Source organism: Homo sapiens, chromosome 18, assembly GCF_000001405.40.
Source record: "Homo sapiens chromosome 18, GRCh38.p14 Primary Assembly".
NCBI classification, from domain to species: domain Eukaryota; kingdom Metazoa; phylum Chordata; class Mammalia; order Primates; family Hominidae; genus Homo; species Homo sapiens.
The window spans coordinates 69,669,511-69,688,137 of NC_000018.10; the positions used below are offsets into that span (position 1 = coordinate 69,669,511).

At 36.2% G+C, this 18,627-nt stretch overlaps 1 protein-coding gene across 3 annotated transcripts in view; it reads left to right on the forward strand.

Annotated features, from left to right (window-relative positions):
• Nucleotides 1–18,627, forward strand: part of DOK6 (docking protein 6) — a 448,200-nt gene that overhangs the window by 268,623 nt on the left and 160,950 nt on the right. For all 3 annotated transcript variants that reach the window (NM_152721.6, XM_017025610.2, XM_017025611.2), the window contains one exon: nt 8,224–8,343. In NM_152721.6, coding sequence (NP_689934.2) covers nt 8,224–8,343 — 120 coding nt within the window. The remainder of the gene's footprint in view (nt 1–8,223; nt 8,344–18,627) is intronic.

The following is an 18,627-nucleotide window of genomic DNA, read 5'->3' on the forward strand; positions in this document are numbered from 1 at the left end:
GTTTTTTAAATCACATGCTTGGCCTTTTATATGACACCTGTCCTTTATACCAGATGTCCTTCGAAATCTCTTCCTTCGAACATTTTCAGTACTTTCAGGTTACTGGTGGATCTAATCTTTCTGGTGGTTGCTCCAACTCTCCCTCGGACCCCTTCCCGCACCCCCCCGCCGACCCTCCTGGCTCTTGTTCTTGGTTGGCTTTTGGCAGATCAGCATTCTCTGCCTTGAGATTTTCTTTTCCACTTCATGTTAATAATCCGGAAATTCCTATTTAATTTATTAAGCTTCAAGTAGATTTAATCACACCATATTCCTTATATATATTTCTCATTGCTTTCATACATCACATCCCATTAATTAGCGTGCTTGGAAGCTTTCCTATTAGAAAGGAATAAAATATTTGGCCTTTATATTTGTTTTGGTGTTTTATTACTGACATAACAAATTGCCACACACAGTAGCAGAAAGCACCACAAATTTATTATCTTATAGTTCCGAAGGACAAAAGTCCAACACTGGTCCTCCTCGGAAGAAAATCAAGCTGTTATCAATTTGATTTTTTTGAACATATTTATTTATTTATTTATTTATTGTTATCAATTTGATTTTCCTTCCTTTCAGGAGGCTCTGGAATAAATACACTTTCAGATTTGTTGGTGTCGTTTGGCCAAATTCAGTTCCATGTTCAATGGGGACTAACGTCAAAATGTTTTTGTAACAGATTTGGTACAGAGAAACAGTTTTAGAGCTCTGTATGATTTCAGACTTCCAGTTTAGATACCCATATCGTTGGCTATGTTTTCATATTCCTGCACACAGCTCTTCCTGTCTCTTTCTCTCTCAACTGCCAACCACCTCAGAAGAGTTGCACAGAAAGCAATTGCTTTTGGGGTCTTAGGAAAGTATGACTAAGATAAAGGGTCTTGATAGCACCTCTTCCTCAAAAAGTTGTCTGCTTGATTATTGTATTCTTGAGAAACCTAAAAAACTTGTGCATCAATTTTTTTTTTTTTTTTTTGAGTCAGAGTCTCACTCTGTCACCAGGCTGGAGTACAGTGGCATGATCTTGGCTCACTGCAACCTCTGCCTCCCAGGTTCAAGTGATTCTCCTGCCTCAGCCTCCCAAGTAGCTGGGATTACAGGCACAAGCCACCATGCCCAGCTAATTTTTGTGTTTTTAGTAGAGACAGGGTTTCACCCTGTTGGCTAGGATGGTCTCAATCTCTTGACCTCGTGATCCTCCCACCCCGGCCTCCCAAAGTGCTGTGATTGTGGGCATGAGCCACCGTGCCTGGCCTGTGCATCACATTTTCTATTGGCATCTATTAAGAATTCTCCCCCAATGCTGGCTTTCCATCACAGAAATGCATTCATTCTCAAGGTGAGCTTCCAAGTTGTCGGAAAGGATCCTTTTTAAGCTTGTAATTTTTAAAAAATATCCAATTCCCATCTTTGCCTCCCTCCCCCAACACACACACACACGCACACACGCGCACACATACACACACACTACACCATTCTTTTCAGATCATTTACTGGTGTCCATTTCTGTTCTTTCTTGTTTTCTCTGGATTGTTTTAAGCTCTTGTGTCATTCACTAACCTCCGTATTAAAGAATTTTACAATGAATTATTGTCAGGCAAAAAAGCAGCACATTTGATTGTTCTATCAATTGCAGCTATTTGTCATTTGTTACTTTGGAAAATAGGTAGGGGCAATTTTCTCTTTGGCCATGTTTGAAAGCCTAATCTCACTCCTTCAATTCATAAAAGAAGTAGCAGAATAAGGTTTTCTCTATTGAGTCCAGAAAGTTGATGTATCAACCTGCTGTTAAATCAAGGAAAACAAGTCATGATTATCTGCATCAAAGATGCATTTAGGTGGTAACACATTTCCTTGGCTCTAAGTTGACTTTTTCTAAGATTCCACTGTCATATCTATATAGAAAATAAAAATTTAATCAAGTGCTGATCACAAATAAAATTAGAAGAGTTTATGCAAAACCTTCAGGTTGCATAAATATTCCTAATGAGGTTGAAAGAAAAAATAGCCAATAAAATAAGAAACCTTTTTTGAATAGATGATATTTTATCATTACCTAAGTTCAGTAGGGAACCATGTCAGGTAGTGCTCTGTTTCTTTTTCTAAAGATCTATTTTATCTAGCTAAGCAAGACTTATAAACTCTACTTAAATTGAGACAATAGAGACCTCAAAATATCCTCCAAGAGACTACTCACCAAATTATTTGCATTTGGCTTTAGAATTTGTTTTGAATTTCTGGGAATAAACTGCAAATGATATAGACCTAATTGTTCCATATTTATGTATTCATTTCCATATCCAGGTGCAGTTCTAGGGTAAAGGGTGACTAGATCAAGTAAGTTTCCTGCACTCCAATTTCTTAAAGTTGACTGGGAAAGGCAGAACAATCGCTCATTGATACTTAGGGGCGTCTACGGCCATACCACCCTGAATGAACCAATCTCATCTGATATTTAGGGGCTATGATAAAATTCTCTACACTGTTATGGAAATGTAGAGGAAAGGTGTCACATCTAAACATGGGTCTGAAGAGCTAAACTAAGAAGGCCATATTTGAACCACATTTTAAAGGACTATTAGGTATCAGTGAACTTTGTGGAAGGGAGGAAATGAGGGGAACTCCACAGAAAGGAAATAAATGCACTTCCTACTTAGAAAACTAATCGTACCCCCATCTCTACACTGGTCAACTCTACAAATCTGACTTCAACAGAAAAAGCTTGTTCCTGTAGGCTAACCAGAGATCCATGCTTTTGATCTTTGCTGAAACAAGCATTTAGGTGGTTTTGTTTGTTAGTTTGTTTGTTTGTTTTGTTTTGTTTTGATGGAGTTTTGCTCTTGTTGCCCAGGCTGGAGTGCAATGGCGCGATCTCAGCTCACCGCAAGCTCCGCCTCCTGTGTTCAAGGGATTCTCCTGTCTCAGACTCCCGAGTAGCTGGGATTACAGGCGCGCAGCACCGCGCCCGGCTAATTTTGTATTTTTAGTAGATTCGGGGTTTCGCCATGTTGGCCGGGCTGGTCTCAAACTCCTGATCTCAAGTGATCCGCCCACCTCAGCCTGCCAAAGTGCTGGGATTACAGGCGTGAGCCACTGCGCCCGGCAGTGTTTGTGTTTTAACTGGTTTCTTGTCTTCCCACTATTAAAAAAAAAAAGGGGGGGGTGGGGGCGGTGGGGAAACAAAAGTCCATGAAACATCAGCAAGGCCAGTTAAGTAGAAAGTCACGCCAGTTTTCAAGAATGAAAGCATCATCAAAATGTCTTATATTTTAATAGTTCTATAAATTTTAAATGACAATAAGGGAGAGTTTTATATTCTCTAAGCAATAGCCTGTAAGGGAAACATTTTTCTTCACTTCACAGCAAAGCATGTATTTAAGACGTTAATAAATATGAAAACAACCTTTATCATCAAATCATAGCAAATCTGCACAGAACATAAGAATTAGATAGAATTAAGAATTTCTGCTTATGCTGAAGACAAAACAGGATTATTTTGTCTACATTTTCCAAAGATTATTAATAAAAGCTAACTCCAGTGGGAACTAGATACAATGATTTATTATTTTCACACAAAAAAGTCTTACTTGCATCTTCTAATAAAATAACATGAAACTGATGCAGTGCTGTTTTTAATTCTGCTACATAATTTTGGGCTGATAGCATATTTTCTGTGTGTATATATATATATATGATGAAAACTTTTTCACTCTGTTTTCAAATGTAGCTCATTTTGGATCATTTAACTTTAATGTCATTATCTTAAGGGCTAAATTTAGTAAAAGCAATAAAGCTTGAATCTAATTACTTAGTCAATAGGCATTTATTAAAGGTCTTCTATTTAAATACCTCTTCTCTGATCCCCTTCAAATCAGAATTAAAAATAGCACTGCATCAGTCCCATGTCACTGTATTGTAAGACACCATACTTTCCCCAGAATTCTGTGGAGAAATGGAAAGACACTGAAACAACACAGGGAGGAGCCACCATCTTTGACTGAATTGGCTTTGGACTCCCATCATTTTCTCTGCAGTCAGTCAACCCATTTGTCACATAATTCACCATTTAATTTAATCTCTAGTCTCCATTTGTCTTATTATTCCCAAATGACTTTCAATTTTCCTTTTGGAAATTACCAAATTTCTTCATTTAACTAATCCTCTATATAATGAAAACATTATTTGTGTTTCTAGTCCAGAGAAAAAGTTATTTACTCAATTAAAAATTTGAACATAGCTGCAAGCTATCTGAAAAAGGCATCTTCATGAAAAAGCACTTCATCATGAAGAGAAAAATAAAAAACTTTATAGAACCCTTTAATGTCTTTATTCTCCCATAATGAAATTTAATTATTTACACATTATGTGTAGACTAAAAAGTTTGAAAGATAAAGCAAATTACAAAGGCACTCGGTCTATGGGAAAATAAACATTTTAAAATGCAGTGGGTGGGTTCAGATTATTGCATTTGTATTGAATCTCTGTTCTGTAAAAAAATATAAAAATGAAAGGTGAAAGATAATTTAGAGAAAAACACCAATTAAATAGTGATAGAAAAAAATTAACATGCAATGAAAGATTAAAAGACTTCAATACATAGAGCTTGCCTAAGAAAGAAGAATTAAAAAGCATAGTTGTAATATTTGAAAGGTGGTGACTGTCAAAAACAGATTTATAAAACCAAAGCTTTGTCTAAAAGTCAAAGAAATTCAGCTTATGTGCAGCAAAACTGTTAGCTCCAAGTATACAGACTACAAAGGTTAATACTTTTGAGGTGAAGTTTTAGGACTGATCTTATTGAGCCAAATACTAGAAAATCATGAAAAGAATGAACTGATACTGTTTCTCACATTTTTCTACATGAACTCAGAGCTATCTCCAGCTGTTACAGGATGTCACTCTTGCTACCCTGCAAATGTCTTTCCCTCTCCACCCCAGGCATCTCCCTCACTCCTCCCAGACTCCTCCAACACACACTCATACACTCACAAAATATGACTACAAATGCACACTCACACACACTCATCAAAACTGCTGTGTGCACACACACCCACACATTACACATACAGTGCTATGCACACTCACACCCACATACTCACACACACTGATATACACGCACGCTCACTAACACACACATCATCATTTTCTCTCTGCTTGCCCTGATACTTTCACTCTGCTGAGCCTTTGGCATAGCTCCTCAGTTTCTGCCTAGCTAGGCTAACAGCCTTCCAGAGCACCATATACTAAACCCACCTGCCCATCCCACTAGACTCTATGATTATTGAGAGCAGAAATGGTGTGTTTTTCATATAACCTCCTAGCACAGTGCCTGGCATATGGAGAGTTCACAATAAATATTTGTTAAAGGAATGAGTCCTGAATTGTAAGAATCTCTCTTCCTCTCTCTCTCTCTTTGAAATAGTTTACAGTTCAGTCTTTAGTGTGACAATATGTACTCTACTTTTATTATTCTTGCTATTCCTATTCTTATATGCTACTACACTACTAAAATGCTGAAGCACTGTCTGCAAGAGACATCTTTATCTGCTGGTAGGAGCCCATGAATACCTCTCATTGCTGTGATGGGAGACTTCTTTGTTCCAGCACTTACAGAAATTCTGCATTTAGTTCTGCTTGAAAGAGTCCACTCCAGTTTCATAGAAGCCTTTTACTGTATGATTGCTTTCTTCGTCTCATTAAACCCTGGGACAAAAGACTTAACACAAAGAAGGAGTGAATTATATATTTCTTAAATGTCTGGGCATGCACCGACTTACTGCTTAAAGAGAATATTGGCACCAAGGTGCTTTGACATATTTAACGTTCTGATTTTTACTCCCAAATAGCACATTAGATATTTTCATCCTTATCTGTAGAGAACTGGAAATACTATTACAAAGAATAATGCAAAAAAGATTTTAATTGCGTGTGACTTTACATTATTTTTACATCGTGGAGTCTTCTGAAAATTTTAAAACATTAAAAATTTAAAAGAAAAACATACCTAATGTTAAATGACGAATTAATGGGTGCAGCACACCAATATGGCACATGTATACATATGTAACAAACCTGCACGTTGTGCACATGTACCCTAAAACTTAAAGTATAATAATAAAAAAAAGAAAAAAAGAAAAACAATAATCATAGTGTCTCCCTTGACAGAAATTTCAAACATTTCTTGATACATAGCATGTAAATTGGTTTAACCTATAATATTTTGGTTGACTGTTAGAAAATATTTTAAATCTTGTATACATTTTATAAATACTTATATATCTAATAAAAGTACGTTCAATATATGCTTTTGTTGCTCCTATAAATTTTTTCTATGAAGTCTGGCATTTACTTCCTAAAAGAAAAAAGTTTTGTTTTTTGTTTTTTGTTTTTTGTTTTTGTTATTTTTAGTAGCCTCCACAAATGGTGCATTTATTATATTGGTAGCCTTGTGGTTGGAAAGGATTATTTTCTGGGTTCCTAAGGAAATGCCTGAGCAGCTAATCCCAGGCCTCTGACTCCACTCAAGTGAGGGAACCAGGCCCTCTTGAAAATCTTCCTGATCCTTGACATAGTTTGATAGTATGCCTTACATCAGTGAGGGGATGGTCCCTGACACATGCAAACTGTACTTTCGTAAATAAAAGTGCTTCTCATGATAGGAACATTGGAACTATTATTTTTATTAGAACAGGATCCCATGGGGAACTGCATGTTCTTTCTTTTGTTATTTTTAAAAGTATGTCATGGTCTTGAGAAAAGTAAAAATAAATGATAAATTTGTCTTCACATCTCATTGATGAAACTTATTTTTGCTGCAGCATGACTAAGCTCAGAAAGAAAACATTACCCAAATTTGATGGTGTTGACCATCAAGGAGAGCCCAGTGTTGGTATTTAGATCCCAAAAGTCAAGAAAACCTGTCACAGATAACTTTTCATGGGGCATTTAAAATGCCAAGACAAAGGGTGAGGTGTCATCCACAGAGAGCAACAAGAGATTTACAGAGAATCCATATTACACTATTCTAGTACAGATTTATGCTGTATGGAAAAGTCAGAAACTTCTCTGGGCAGACGTCAATGGAAAGTTCTTATCCAATTTCTGTACAGTGATATTGGAGCTTGGCCTAAAATATTAAACCTGAGACCCCTTTTCAAATTTCTGCATAGTAAAATAGCTGGAAGACTTGGTTGATTTCCAATTCTGTTTTGATGCTGACCAATGATTTGAGGCACAGATATGATCCTAACCCTTGGCTACCTCACTCGCACAGGGCTTACACCAAAGTCAAATTCACTTATGTTTATGAAAGCCTGTGAAAACTTTAGATATGACAGGATTTTGTGTTGATGTAACACATTCTAATGTTTTAAGCAAGAGGAAAATGTGATTATAAAGAAATTGGGAGGTAATCATAGAAAAAAAAAGCAATGATCTAATCAACGTCTTAGGTAATTGGAATTTTCCAAAGAGAAGAGATACTTTTAAATTCTACCCCAATTTTTTTAAAAAATAAGAATAGCCTAATTTGTATTGTTTACAAAGAAAAATGATCACATTCTAGAGCTGATTTATGATCCATTACAATTCAGAATGACTTGGGGATCAGGTCTTCAACTCATACAAATCTAAGTCACTTTCAGGAAAACATTCATTTGTTTAATCTAACCTGACATTTTTTCAACTATTACACTTATATATTTATTTTCTATTTTATATTTACTTAATTTACATTGACATAAAATTAAATGTATTTATTATGCAAAGCATGTTTTGAAGTATATATATGTGTCTATATATATATTATATATGTGTGTGTATATATATATATATGTATATAAAATGTAAAGCATGATGGCTAATTTATTATTTTAAGTAAATTTTCCTCCCCAAGTAAAATCAATCTAAACTATGCTATATAAGAAACAAATATTCTCAGACTATTATTTGTAAATAAGGTAAAGTACTACAAATAAGATAAACCACTTAAAAATATAATGTCAAAGAGTAGGAAATAATTTTTGGGACTTATTTTCACTTCCTAAATACAGTTTTTTGTTGTTTTTTTAAAGGCAGGTTCTTAACTCTTGCCAGTTACCTGGGAAAACAGTTAAGGAAATATTCTTCTTCCATCATTCCTAGGGAGCATTGCTTGACTGGTGATGTTGTGGTTACTTTCAGAGCTGGAGGCCGAGGAGTGGTGCAAGCACCTCTGCATGGAGTGTCTGGGGACCAGGCTCAATGATATCAGCCTTGGGGAGCCCGACCTTCTGGCCGCAGGAGTGCAGCGGGAACAGAATGGTAGGTGTGAGATTGCCTTCCATCACTTCAGAATACCCTTGTAATTGTAGAACTTTGAAACTGGAAAGGATCTCAGAAATGTTTCAGACCAATCATATTTTTTAAATCAAAAAGGCCGAGTGCAGTGGCGCAAACCTGTAATCCCTGCATTTTGGGAGCCCGAGGGTGACCCATCCCTTGAGGCTAGGAGTTCGAGACCAGCCTGGGCAACATGGTAAAACCTCATCTCTACTAAAAATACAAAAATTAGCTGGGTGTGGTGGCCCGCACCTGTAGTCCCAGCTTCTTGGGAGGCTGGAGCATGAGAATTGCTTGAACCTGGGAGGCAGAGGTTGCAATGAGCCAAGATCACGCCACTGCACTCCAGCCTGGACAACAGAGTAAGACCCTGTCTCAGAAACATATATATAAAATAAACTGAACAGTTCAAGTTATTAAGGGACTTTCCCACAATGGTGTAACAACTGGAGAAAATGCTAAGGTACAACCCGGGTCTCCTGGCTTCTTGTCTGTGGCATTGCCTTTTATCCTAATAACTAATAGGTTAACTTGTTCTTCAGAAGGCTTTTGAATGGCTAGCATCCCTCCAGTTTCTTCTTGGAGACTTATTATAGATTTAGAGTCTATATTAACAGATTTGGCTTATCAGGTTATCGGTAGCTTTTAGGACATTTGGCTAATATTACAAGGAAGAAAGTAATGAGTAAAATCTCAGGGTTTCACAAAACTGAGGTTTTTGTTTCTAATGGTGTTGACTTACTACACTGTTCTCTAGTTTAACAAGCATTTCTAATGTCTCATAACAATTTATGCTGCATGTTCTTGACTAGCAACTCTAAATAACAGAATTGGAGTAATATTATTCAGCCTGTCAATATTCATTGATTGTGAGCTCATTTATAAAAATATGATCACCACCACCAGATGATTGAATAGTGTGAAAATAGAAACTTTTTAGTGTTGCTAAGTTTTGATGATCGGTGTTTTGAAAGGTTGAAGGATATTGAGGAAACTTGACATTATTTATTAAGAAGAAATTCTGGGCCAGGCGTGGTGGCTCACACCTGTAATCCCAGCACTTTAGGAGGCAGTGGTGGGTGGATTGCTTGAGCTCAGAAGTTCAAGACCAGCTTGCACAACATAGTGAAACCCTGTCTCTACAAATTACAAAAATTAGCAGGCTGTGGTGGCATGTGCCTATAGTTCCAGCTACTCGGGAGGCTGAGGTGGGAGGCTCGCTTGAGCCTGGGAGGCAGAGGTTACAGTGAGCCAATATTGGGCCACTGTAGTCCAGCCTGGGTGACAGAGTGAGGCCATATCTCAAAAAAAGAAAAAAGAAAGCAATTCTTGAATTATCTGTGGGTCATAAACTAAATAGCATAGGTAAAAGAGCACATGATAGCACATGATGATTATATTCTCATTATTACTAATAACAATACTGTCAACAGCCATTGCTAGCTCATGGCCCATTGTAGCACTATTTTTTATTTGTTGCTAAAATGAAAAAAGTTTTTTTCTGCTCGTGGATCATGAACATATATAATAAGTTCCAAATATTGCTTCCATTTGAGTTTTTAGAAAGTCACAAAAGTATTTCTGTAGCTCTTTATCTAGCTTCTGGTTTATATTCCAGTTCCTCTCCCACACTCTCTCAAATTTCATCTCTGATTTGTTTTCTGAGAGCAGTGCTAAGCAGAGTCCATAATCATGCTGTTTAAAATGTATGCTCTCCATTCACAGTTTAAGAAAAGGAAACACCTCTTACTGATAAAAATTTGTCAAGTACTACATAAAGCAAATATGAAAAAGTGAATAAATTAAGCTTGTAAATAGAAATACTGTGCCTCTTGTAGCATGGACTGTATGCTTTTTACTTTGAAGATTTGGAGATATATATGGTTTCCATCCAAATGTATAATGTACTTCTTTGGTTTATCATAATTTTATTTCTAATTTGATAATAAGGTCAAAGTAATTTGTCTAGAATATAAAGAGAAATTTTTAATATAGGTTTATTTTAGAATAGGACAAACAGAATAAAGTGCCAAAGCTACATAAAAAGCAGAAGGTGACTTTAAAACACATACACACACACACACAACACACATACACACACAAGTCAAAATAAAGAAAGAAAAAATAATTCCTGTGTATACTTTACAGTGGACCTAAAATTATATCACCAGTGCTATAAATGCTTTTCTTAGATTAATTATGTTTAATAATCCTAACTTCAAACAAAAGGATATATGTGCTTTAAAAATATAGTTAACAAATCTATGAGTAATTTAGCTGGAAAAGGTAATACTGGGTTTATTTAAATGGCCCACAAAGATACATGATATCCTATAAGGAAATTTGCAACTTTAGTACACATGCTGGGAGACAGACACGTACTCACTAAGACTCTTCAATGTTTAGCATTAAAAGAAAATTCCTGGATGGGGAGGATTTCCTGTCCCTGGGAATCTCCCTCCCCTTAAAGGAAGTTCCTTATTTGACTGCCAAGGCCACGGATACAGCCATTGCTCAGGGTTCGTCAAGTCTGCACCCCCCTCTTTAAAGAACTTCCATAACTTTTGATGATATCCCTTTTCTGTGTTCCTCTTGGCCCATTCAGAGCCAGCTAGAACTTTTTAAAATTTGCATCAACACGTTAGGAGAATAATAAAAGGAATAAACATTGAGGCAATATCAAGATTTCAGACTCTATTCTTGCTAGCTCAATAATCTAGTGTGTATACACAGAGACAACTATACACACACAGAGATTGGCACAATTTCTTAGGTGTATACCCCAGTGTTCTCACTTTCTATTCAACAGGCTTCCCCCATACTTATGATAATTCCAATTTAGAATGCTCTCTCAAACAATTACCAGTAGGCTATAAAACCTCATGGTAAAGACTAAGATATCTCATCCGTCAACTTGGACCCTCCCACCCAGTCCTTGGAGTAGGTAGCTATTTCTTAGACAATATACTCACTTATTTTACTTAAATGTGTAGGGAAAGCATTTTAGCTAACTGAAGTCTTTAAAAATAAAATTGACTTTTAAAGCTGTCATTTCACTGACTCTCAATCACTCTTCCAGACTCTTCAAGCATAACACCTTTTAAAATAAAATCATTAACTTACTAATACATGGTTGAAGTCACTAATATATATAGATTGAATAATCTTTTATCAAAGAATTAGCACGATAGATTGTTTATTAAGACATTTTAGTATTAAATTATATAGCTGAATCTTCATCAGGAACATGATTTTATTATTTTGCCAATAATGTGCTTGGATAGTTTGAACTTTTTCTACTAAGAGATATGTGTGCAGAATTACTGTAATTAACTACATTAACATGGTTTGTGGTGATCTTGTAGTATTCTATCAGTATCAAGTCACACCGCTTAGTCTTTACCACAGCAATTTTTTGACATTCAAAAATGCTACTTCTCTTCTTGTGTTTTCCTGCCTCTTCAGACAGCCTGAGACTAGCTAAGAAGAGACATTTATACAAATAATTTTTAAAGGTGAAAGATAATGTGTGTTGCTGAGATAAAAGTGGTTATTGATTAAATCCTTTGCTGTAATCATCTTTATCTACTGCTGTCAGCTTGTTTTCATATCGACCCAGAATCCCACATGGTATGGGGAAAGTTACATGAACACAAGTTCACATGCACATGTGCATAAACAGACACACACACACACACAGAGGAAAATGTGTTCTGATTTCAGATGACACTGCCACAGGAAAGTGCATACTTGGTAGACATTTCAAAGTTTAAATTCTTAAAATTTCCAGGATCTCCAGGTCTTTCAGTAGTATTTAAGATAGCCTATACTGACCATAAAAAATATTAATATATGGCATTACAGTTATTTATAAAGGATTCACAACACATAATAGCAATTGTGGAAAACAAATGTTGCTTATTCATCATGAATAGCAAAAGTGAACGTCGTAACCAAGAAGCAATTCACTTGTAGGAAATTCCTGCAAATGCAGTTGGAAATGGACACAAAGGATAGGTCCAATTTGCTACTGATGCAAGAGATCTCCATCTGGAACAAAAATAATGGAACCTCAGACTGCCATCTGGTTTATTCAGAGTCAGACTGAAGGGTTTGCCTTTCTCTGGGACCCAGTGTCTCTGCTCATGAGTGGGCTACATACATTTCTTCTTTTAGCCTAAAGATCTGTATAACTTGTCTCAGAACCAAAGCAATATGCTAGTGTTGTTTCTAAATTATTACCTGGTTGCTATGGTAAACATGCTTCCTACATTCAACTCAGACACCCTTGAATGTCATTCATTCATTCTGGACTCAAACATTGTGAGGACCTATGATATGTAAGAACTAAACAAGAAATGTAAAATTGAACAAAATGCTTAGAAGCTCACAAAGTAGTAAAGGAGACAAACATAAACAAAGTGCATCAATTCATGTTTTGTAAAATAATGTTGTGTTACCAGTCAACAAAAATCTCAGTAGTACAGACCTATAAGCAGATCTTCGTTGTTCAGGCACAGGTAAAAAGGCTAAAGTTGGGCTGAGTTAGACTGGGTTGTGCTGAGACTGGCTCCAAGCTGCAGACAATGCCAGTGTCTATTTCATCTGTCTCTCAACCTCCTTACACTTGCAACTTCCCAAAGCACACTTCTCAAACAAAAGATAACAGTAATGCATGATAGTATGCCCAGATTTGCAACACAATTTGAGCCTTTGAATATTTCATGTCCACTAACATTCCATTGGCCAAGGCAAGTCCTATTGCCAAGCCCAAAGTCCAGAAGCACAGTACACCCCATCTATGAGGCCACAATAGCAGTTAGAATGTATGACATACGGAAAGGAAGTGAAAAGCTGATATAAAAAATGATACAATCTACCATCTCAGGTATAATAAAAAATATGCCAAAATAAAAACAAAAGGAAAGTACTGTGGTAGAGGTGAGATTAATTCTAATCAAAGTAGCTTACACTTTCCTTTTTATAATTATTTCTTATTCCTCTAAATTAGCTTTCTCAATCAGGCAAGTCTGAAACTCTTGATGTCCATCAATGATTAAAGCCAATATTAGCAGCACCTTACTCATGTGGAAAATAACCAGTTAATGACAAAACAACGGCCACAGTAACAATAGGCCTCTCTCTGTTTTGAGGATTTTCCCCCAATATCTTACTAAGGATCTGGGGTAAACCATATTCACTTATATACATATTCTTTATAACCAAACAAAAGAGTTTTCCAGGGCAATAATTTTATCTATGGGATGACCCTGAACAAAACCAACTTTTGCATCAGGAAAAAAAAAAAAACAAGCACACTCACATCTGAGTTTCTAAAACGCCATTCATATGCTCTAGTCTTGCCCAAAGTGAGTTCCTGGAAATGCTACTCTGACAATAATGACGACCTGCTCTCTGCAGTGAGGGAATCAATCTGTTGAACTTAACACTGTATCACAATTGTGTCCCTTCCAAGAAGATATGTTGAAATCCAAACCCTCCATAACTTAGAATGTGAATTTATTTGGAAATAGTTTCTTTGTAAAGGCAATCAAGTTAAAATGAGGTAATTAGGGTTGGCCATAATCCAATGACATCTAATATGTCACTGTAAAGTGGGAAGGTTTGGACTCAGAGATAGATATGGACAAGTGAAGATGATGTGAAGATGCACAAGAAGATGGCCATGTGGCTGGAGTGATGACACGTCCACAAGCCAAGGAACATCAAGCATTGCCCATTAACACCAGAAGCTAGAAAAAGCAAGAAAGGATTCTTCCGTTGAGCAGCCAGAGAGGGGATGGCCCTGCCAGTACTCTGATTACAAACTTCTAGCCTCCAGAACTATGAGATGATATATTACTGTTATTTTAAGCCAACCAATTGTTGGTACTTTGTTATGATAGCCCTAGGAAACAAATACCAGCCCTGTATGATAGTCACAATATACATTAGTAAAGCTGTTGAGAAGTCCTATAATAATCTGTTTAACTTTGTATAACCCAACATTTCCCAAACTCACGTGACCTAGGTGCCTCCTTCTGCACCTAACATGTATTCATATCCTGTGGGACTTGTGTTCCACGAAACACATATTTACAAATGCTGATATAATCAGCAAAGGTTATTATCTACAGGGAAAGCTGAAAGGCAATGATTATGGAAGCAGCCCCTCTAGAAGAAATAAGATGACACTAATGGATGAAACACAAAGTCTTGAATGGACCGTAGCAATTTTGCCTGCCATTGTGTTGTACCATTTTACTTTTATTATTTGATTTATATAGACACCACCTATAAATTTGAAAAATACAAATTATAACCACCACTTTTCTCACTTGGTCTTCAATACACACTACACCAGAAAAAGGTCAAAGCTATATTTATTTCTCCCTATACTTTGCCACAGATGCTTCAGGAAAGCAAAAGATGTTTTGTAGTGCTTCTCTTCTCACAATGTCAAATCTAAATGATCCATTTGTTCATGTCTAACTGTACTGTTATAAAGGAGATGTATATGTGAAGAAATACCTTGAAGCACCAAAGGACCGATCCTGGTTCTTTTGCCCTGGGAACATGCCCTCTGTACAGTAAGAATAAAGATGCAGATTTTGAAAGTATTCACAGCTATGTAAGGAGAAAAGCTTATGGGGGAGAATACTGAATCCAGAATTACTGCTCCCAGGTATGTGCAACAAGATGAAAAGAGTGGCTTGAAAAGAAGAGTTTTATGGAAAATAAGAAATAGATCCCTTCCTTGCCTTTCCTCTTTTCATGGGAGGTCAAGTGGGTAGTGACACGTGCTTATATCATCCTGTATAAATTGGAGGTTTCTTCAAAAGAAGACTAGAATGTGATTTTCCCTGTTGGGTTTAACGAAAGGCATAGGACAAGTAGCAGACAATGTTATTGGAAGCCAGAGAGATTTAAGAAAGTAAAGAGCCTCAATTTTCTCAAAACTGAGTGTGGCATGGAGAGGGTGCTCAACTTTTCCTTAGTTACAGGCTGGACCCCAGATATTATCTGGAAGCAGAAACTGACATGGCACAGGAAAGCAGGGACAAGGAACTTTATTGGCATACAGGCGCATACAAATGAGATAAGATGACCCCTTTTCCTCTGCCAGCTCCTGTGACTAAATCACTTCTGCCAGCTTTCAATTCAGCCTAGAGGAAAAGGCAAGGGTGCTCAGGGATTGAACTTTGAATAACAACAACAAAAAAATGGGTTAAGTGAGTCCTCATTTGACAGAAAATTAACGCAATTTAACACAAAAAGAAACAATATAATCTTTCTAAATTCAATATATAATATTGGGATTTCATTTTTTGGTATACGTAAGTTTCGATTATCCATTTTTTTTTCCTGCTGTACTAAAACAAAATATTGTATGAAGCTGGAAAGTCAAATACGTAGCCTGTCAGAAAAAAGTTGACAAAGTTAGTATGTCATCAAGTTCTATTCTAGTTTTTACATGCTATGGGGCCTTGGTCAGATTAGTGAAATTCTCTTAATCTCTGCTTCCTACTCTGCACATTGAGGATAATGATAGTCCTTATTTCAGAGGATTGTTGTGAGGACTAAATAAGATATGACTTGGAAAACAGGCAGTACAATGCCTGGCAGGAAAGTCAGTTTCTCTGGGATGTGCGTGAACATCTCCATCACATTCACATTGGGTGCACATTAAACAAGGGAATTCTGGGCTCACCCACACCTACAAAGTAAATATCTGGAGGTGGAGCCTAGACATTTCTATTTTAACAATTCTAGTGATGCTCATATATACATTAAAGCTTGAAATTTGGGGGTAATGTACTGTCAATTATAATTGGCTTAAAAAAAATCTACCATTGATTTTAGGAATTTGCCCATTGCTTGAAAAGTTTCAAAATTACTGGCAAAAATTTCATCAGAGTATCTTTGCGTTATAATTTTAACATCTTTTTGTAGTACGGTGGCAACCTTTGCATTCATTCCTTTTGGTCATGTGTGGCTTCTTTTCTTAGTCGGCATCACTAGACACGTGCCTATGTGTTAAACCTCTTTTCTGTATTTTGTGGGCTGAATTTTGTTTCACGCAAAATGTATATGTTGAAGTCCTAACCCCTGGTACCTCAGAATGTGATAGTACTTGTAGGTAGTACCTTTAAAGAGGTAACTGAGGCAGAGGTGAGCCCTAATCCAATATGACTGGTGTCCTTGTAAGAAGAGGAAATTTGAACACAGGCAGAGACAGAGGGAAAACCATATAAAGATATAGGAAGAAAATGGCCCAGTACAAGCTGAAGAGAGAGGCCTCAGAAAAAAATCAACCCTGCTGGCACGCTGATCTTGGACTTCCAGCCTCCAGAACAGGGAGAAAATAATTATCTTTCTTTAAGCCACCCAGTCTGTGGTACTTTGTTATAACAGCCCTGGCAAACTTTGTATATATATTTTTTAATTTTATTAATATTTGCTCTCATTCACTATTACTAATAATTCAGTTGCTCTACAGTTTTGGGCTTAATTGCTGGTTATTTTTCAAATTTCTTGAGATAGATATTTCAATAACTAATTTGTAACTTTTCACTTTAATATATTCTATAAAGCTCCACATTTTTCTTTGAGCATGGATTAAGACCTTAATAGCAACAATATTATTCCCAAATCCCAGATGCTACTACAATAAATATTAAATCTGAGGGGGGATCTAGGGGAGGAAGAAATGCCCTAAATTTCCCATCTGCTGTAATGGAAACATCAAAATAGTATCTTATAGCTCTGGAAAATAAAGCAATATATCATTTATACCTCAAAGTTCACTGGATGAAGATAATTAAAATATAAAAAAGGAAACAGGAACCACATATAATAAAACAAGATAATATAAGACACTAGCTTTAATAACAAATCTGAATAAATTATTTTTATTTAAACATAGTTTTTCTTAGATTGAGTTAAAATAATCTAATTTCATATCATTCAGTGGTTTCAAATTACACAGTCATACTCAAGGAGAAACAGAAAATCCAAAAAGCCCTATAATCATTTAAAAAAATAATATGTTATTATGCAACTTCCAATACATAAACTTTAGTTCCAAATAGTTGTTAAGTTATATCAGACACTTAAATAAGAAATAATACTAATGCTATGCAAAACTATTCAGAAAAAACAGAGGAGGAAATATCATTTCACAACTCATTTTATGAGGTCACTATAACCCAGATACTTGAAACCAGACCAAGTTTATACAAGTAAAGGAAATTTCAGACAAATATCTTTCATGAATCTAAGCCTAAAATTACTTTTAAAATATTAAGAAATTGAATCCAATATTATACAAAAAAGATAATACACCCTGACCAATGTTGGCGTAGCCCAATAATGCAAAGAATCCCAGAAATCCATCAAAATATTTCCTTATGTTAATCCATGAAGGGTGAAAAATTATGTGATTATTATAATTCATCTGTAAAAAGCATTTGATAAAATTCAAAATTCATTTATGAAATCAACTCTCAAAAACCTAGGAATAGAGGCCAGGCATGACGGTGGCTCACACCTGTGATCTCAGCATTTTGGGAGGCTGAGGCAGGTGCATAATTTTAAGTCAGGAGTTCGAGACCAGCCTGGCCAATATGGTGAAACCCCATCTTTACTAACAACACAAAAATTAGCCAGGTGTGGTGGCGGGCGCCTGAAGTCCCAGCTACTCAGGAGGCTGAGGCAGGAGAATTGCTTGAGCCCAAGAGGCAGAGGTTGCAGCGAGCCACAATCACGCCACTGCACTGCAGCCTGGGTGAAAGCTAGATTCTTTCTCAAACACACACCCACAAAACCTAGGACTAAAATGAGACACTAACAGACTGAAGAACATCATTGGAAAGCCCTCAGTAAACATCATTCTTGAGAGTAAAGTACTCAATGTTTTTCTCCTAAGGTTGGGAAAAAGGCAAAGATATCTTTCTCATTACTTCTAATCAAACTTTTTACTGAAAGTCTTTATGTAATATGACAAGAAAATAAACTAAAATTATAAAAAATGATAAAGAAGTATAATCTAGATTGTGTACTCGGAAAACCCTAAAATTCTACCAGAAAGTAACTATAGCTAACAAGTGAATTCAATGATGTTGCAGGATAACAAGTTGGTATTCAAATTTTTAAATATATACTTCTATTTCATATAATGCAATTAATATTATAAAATTAAATATTAAAATACCTTTTATAAACCCATGAAAAACCATCACATACTGAGGGATAAACTAGCAAAGG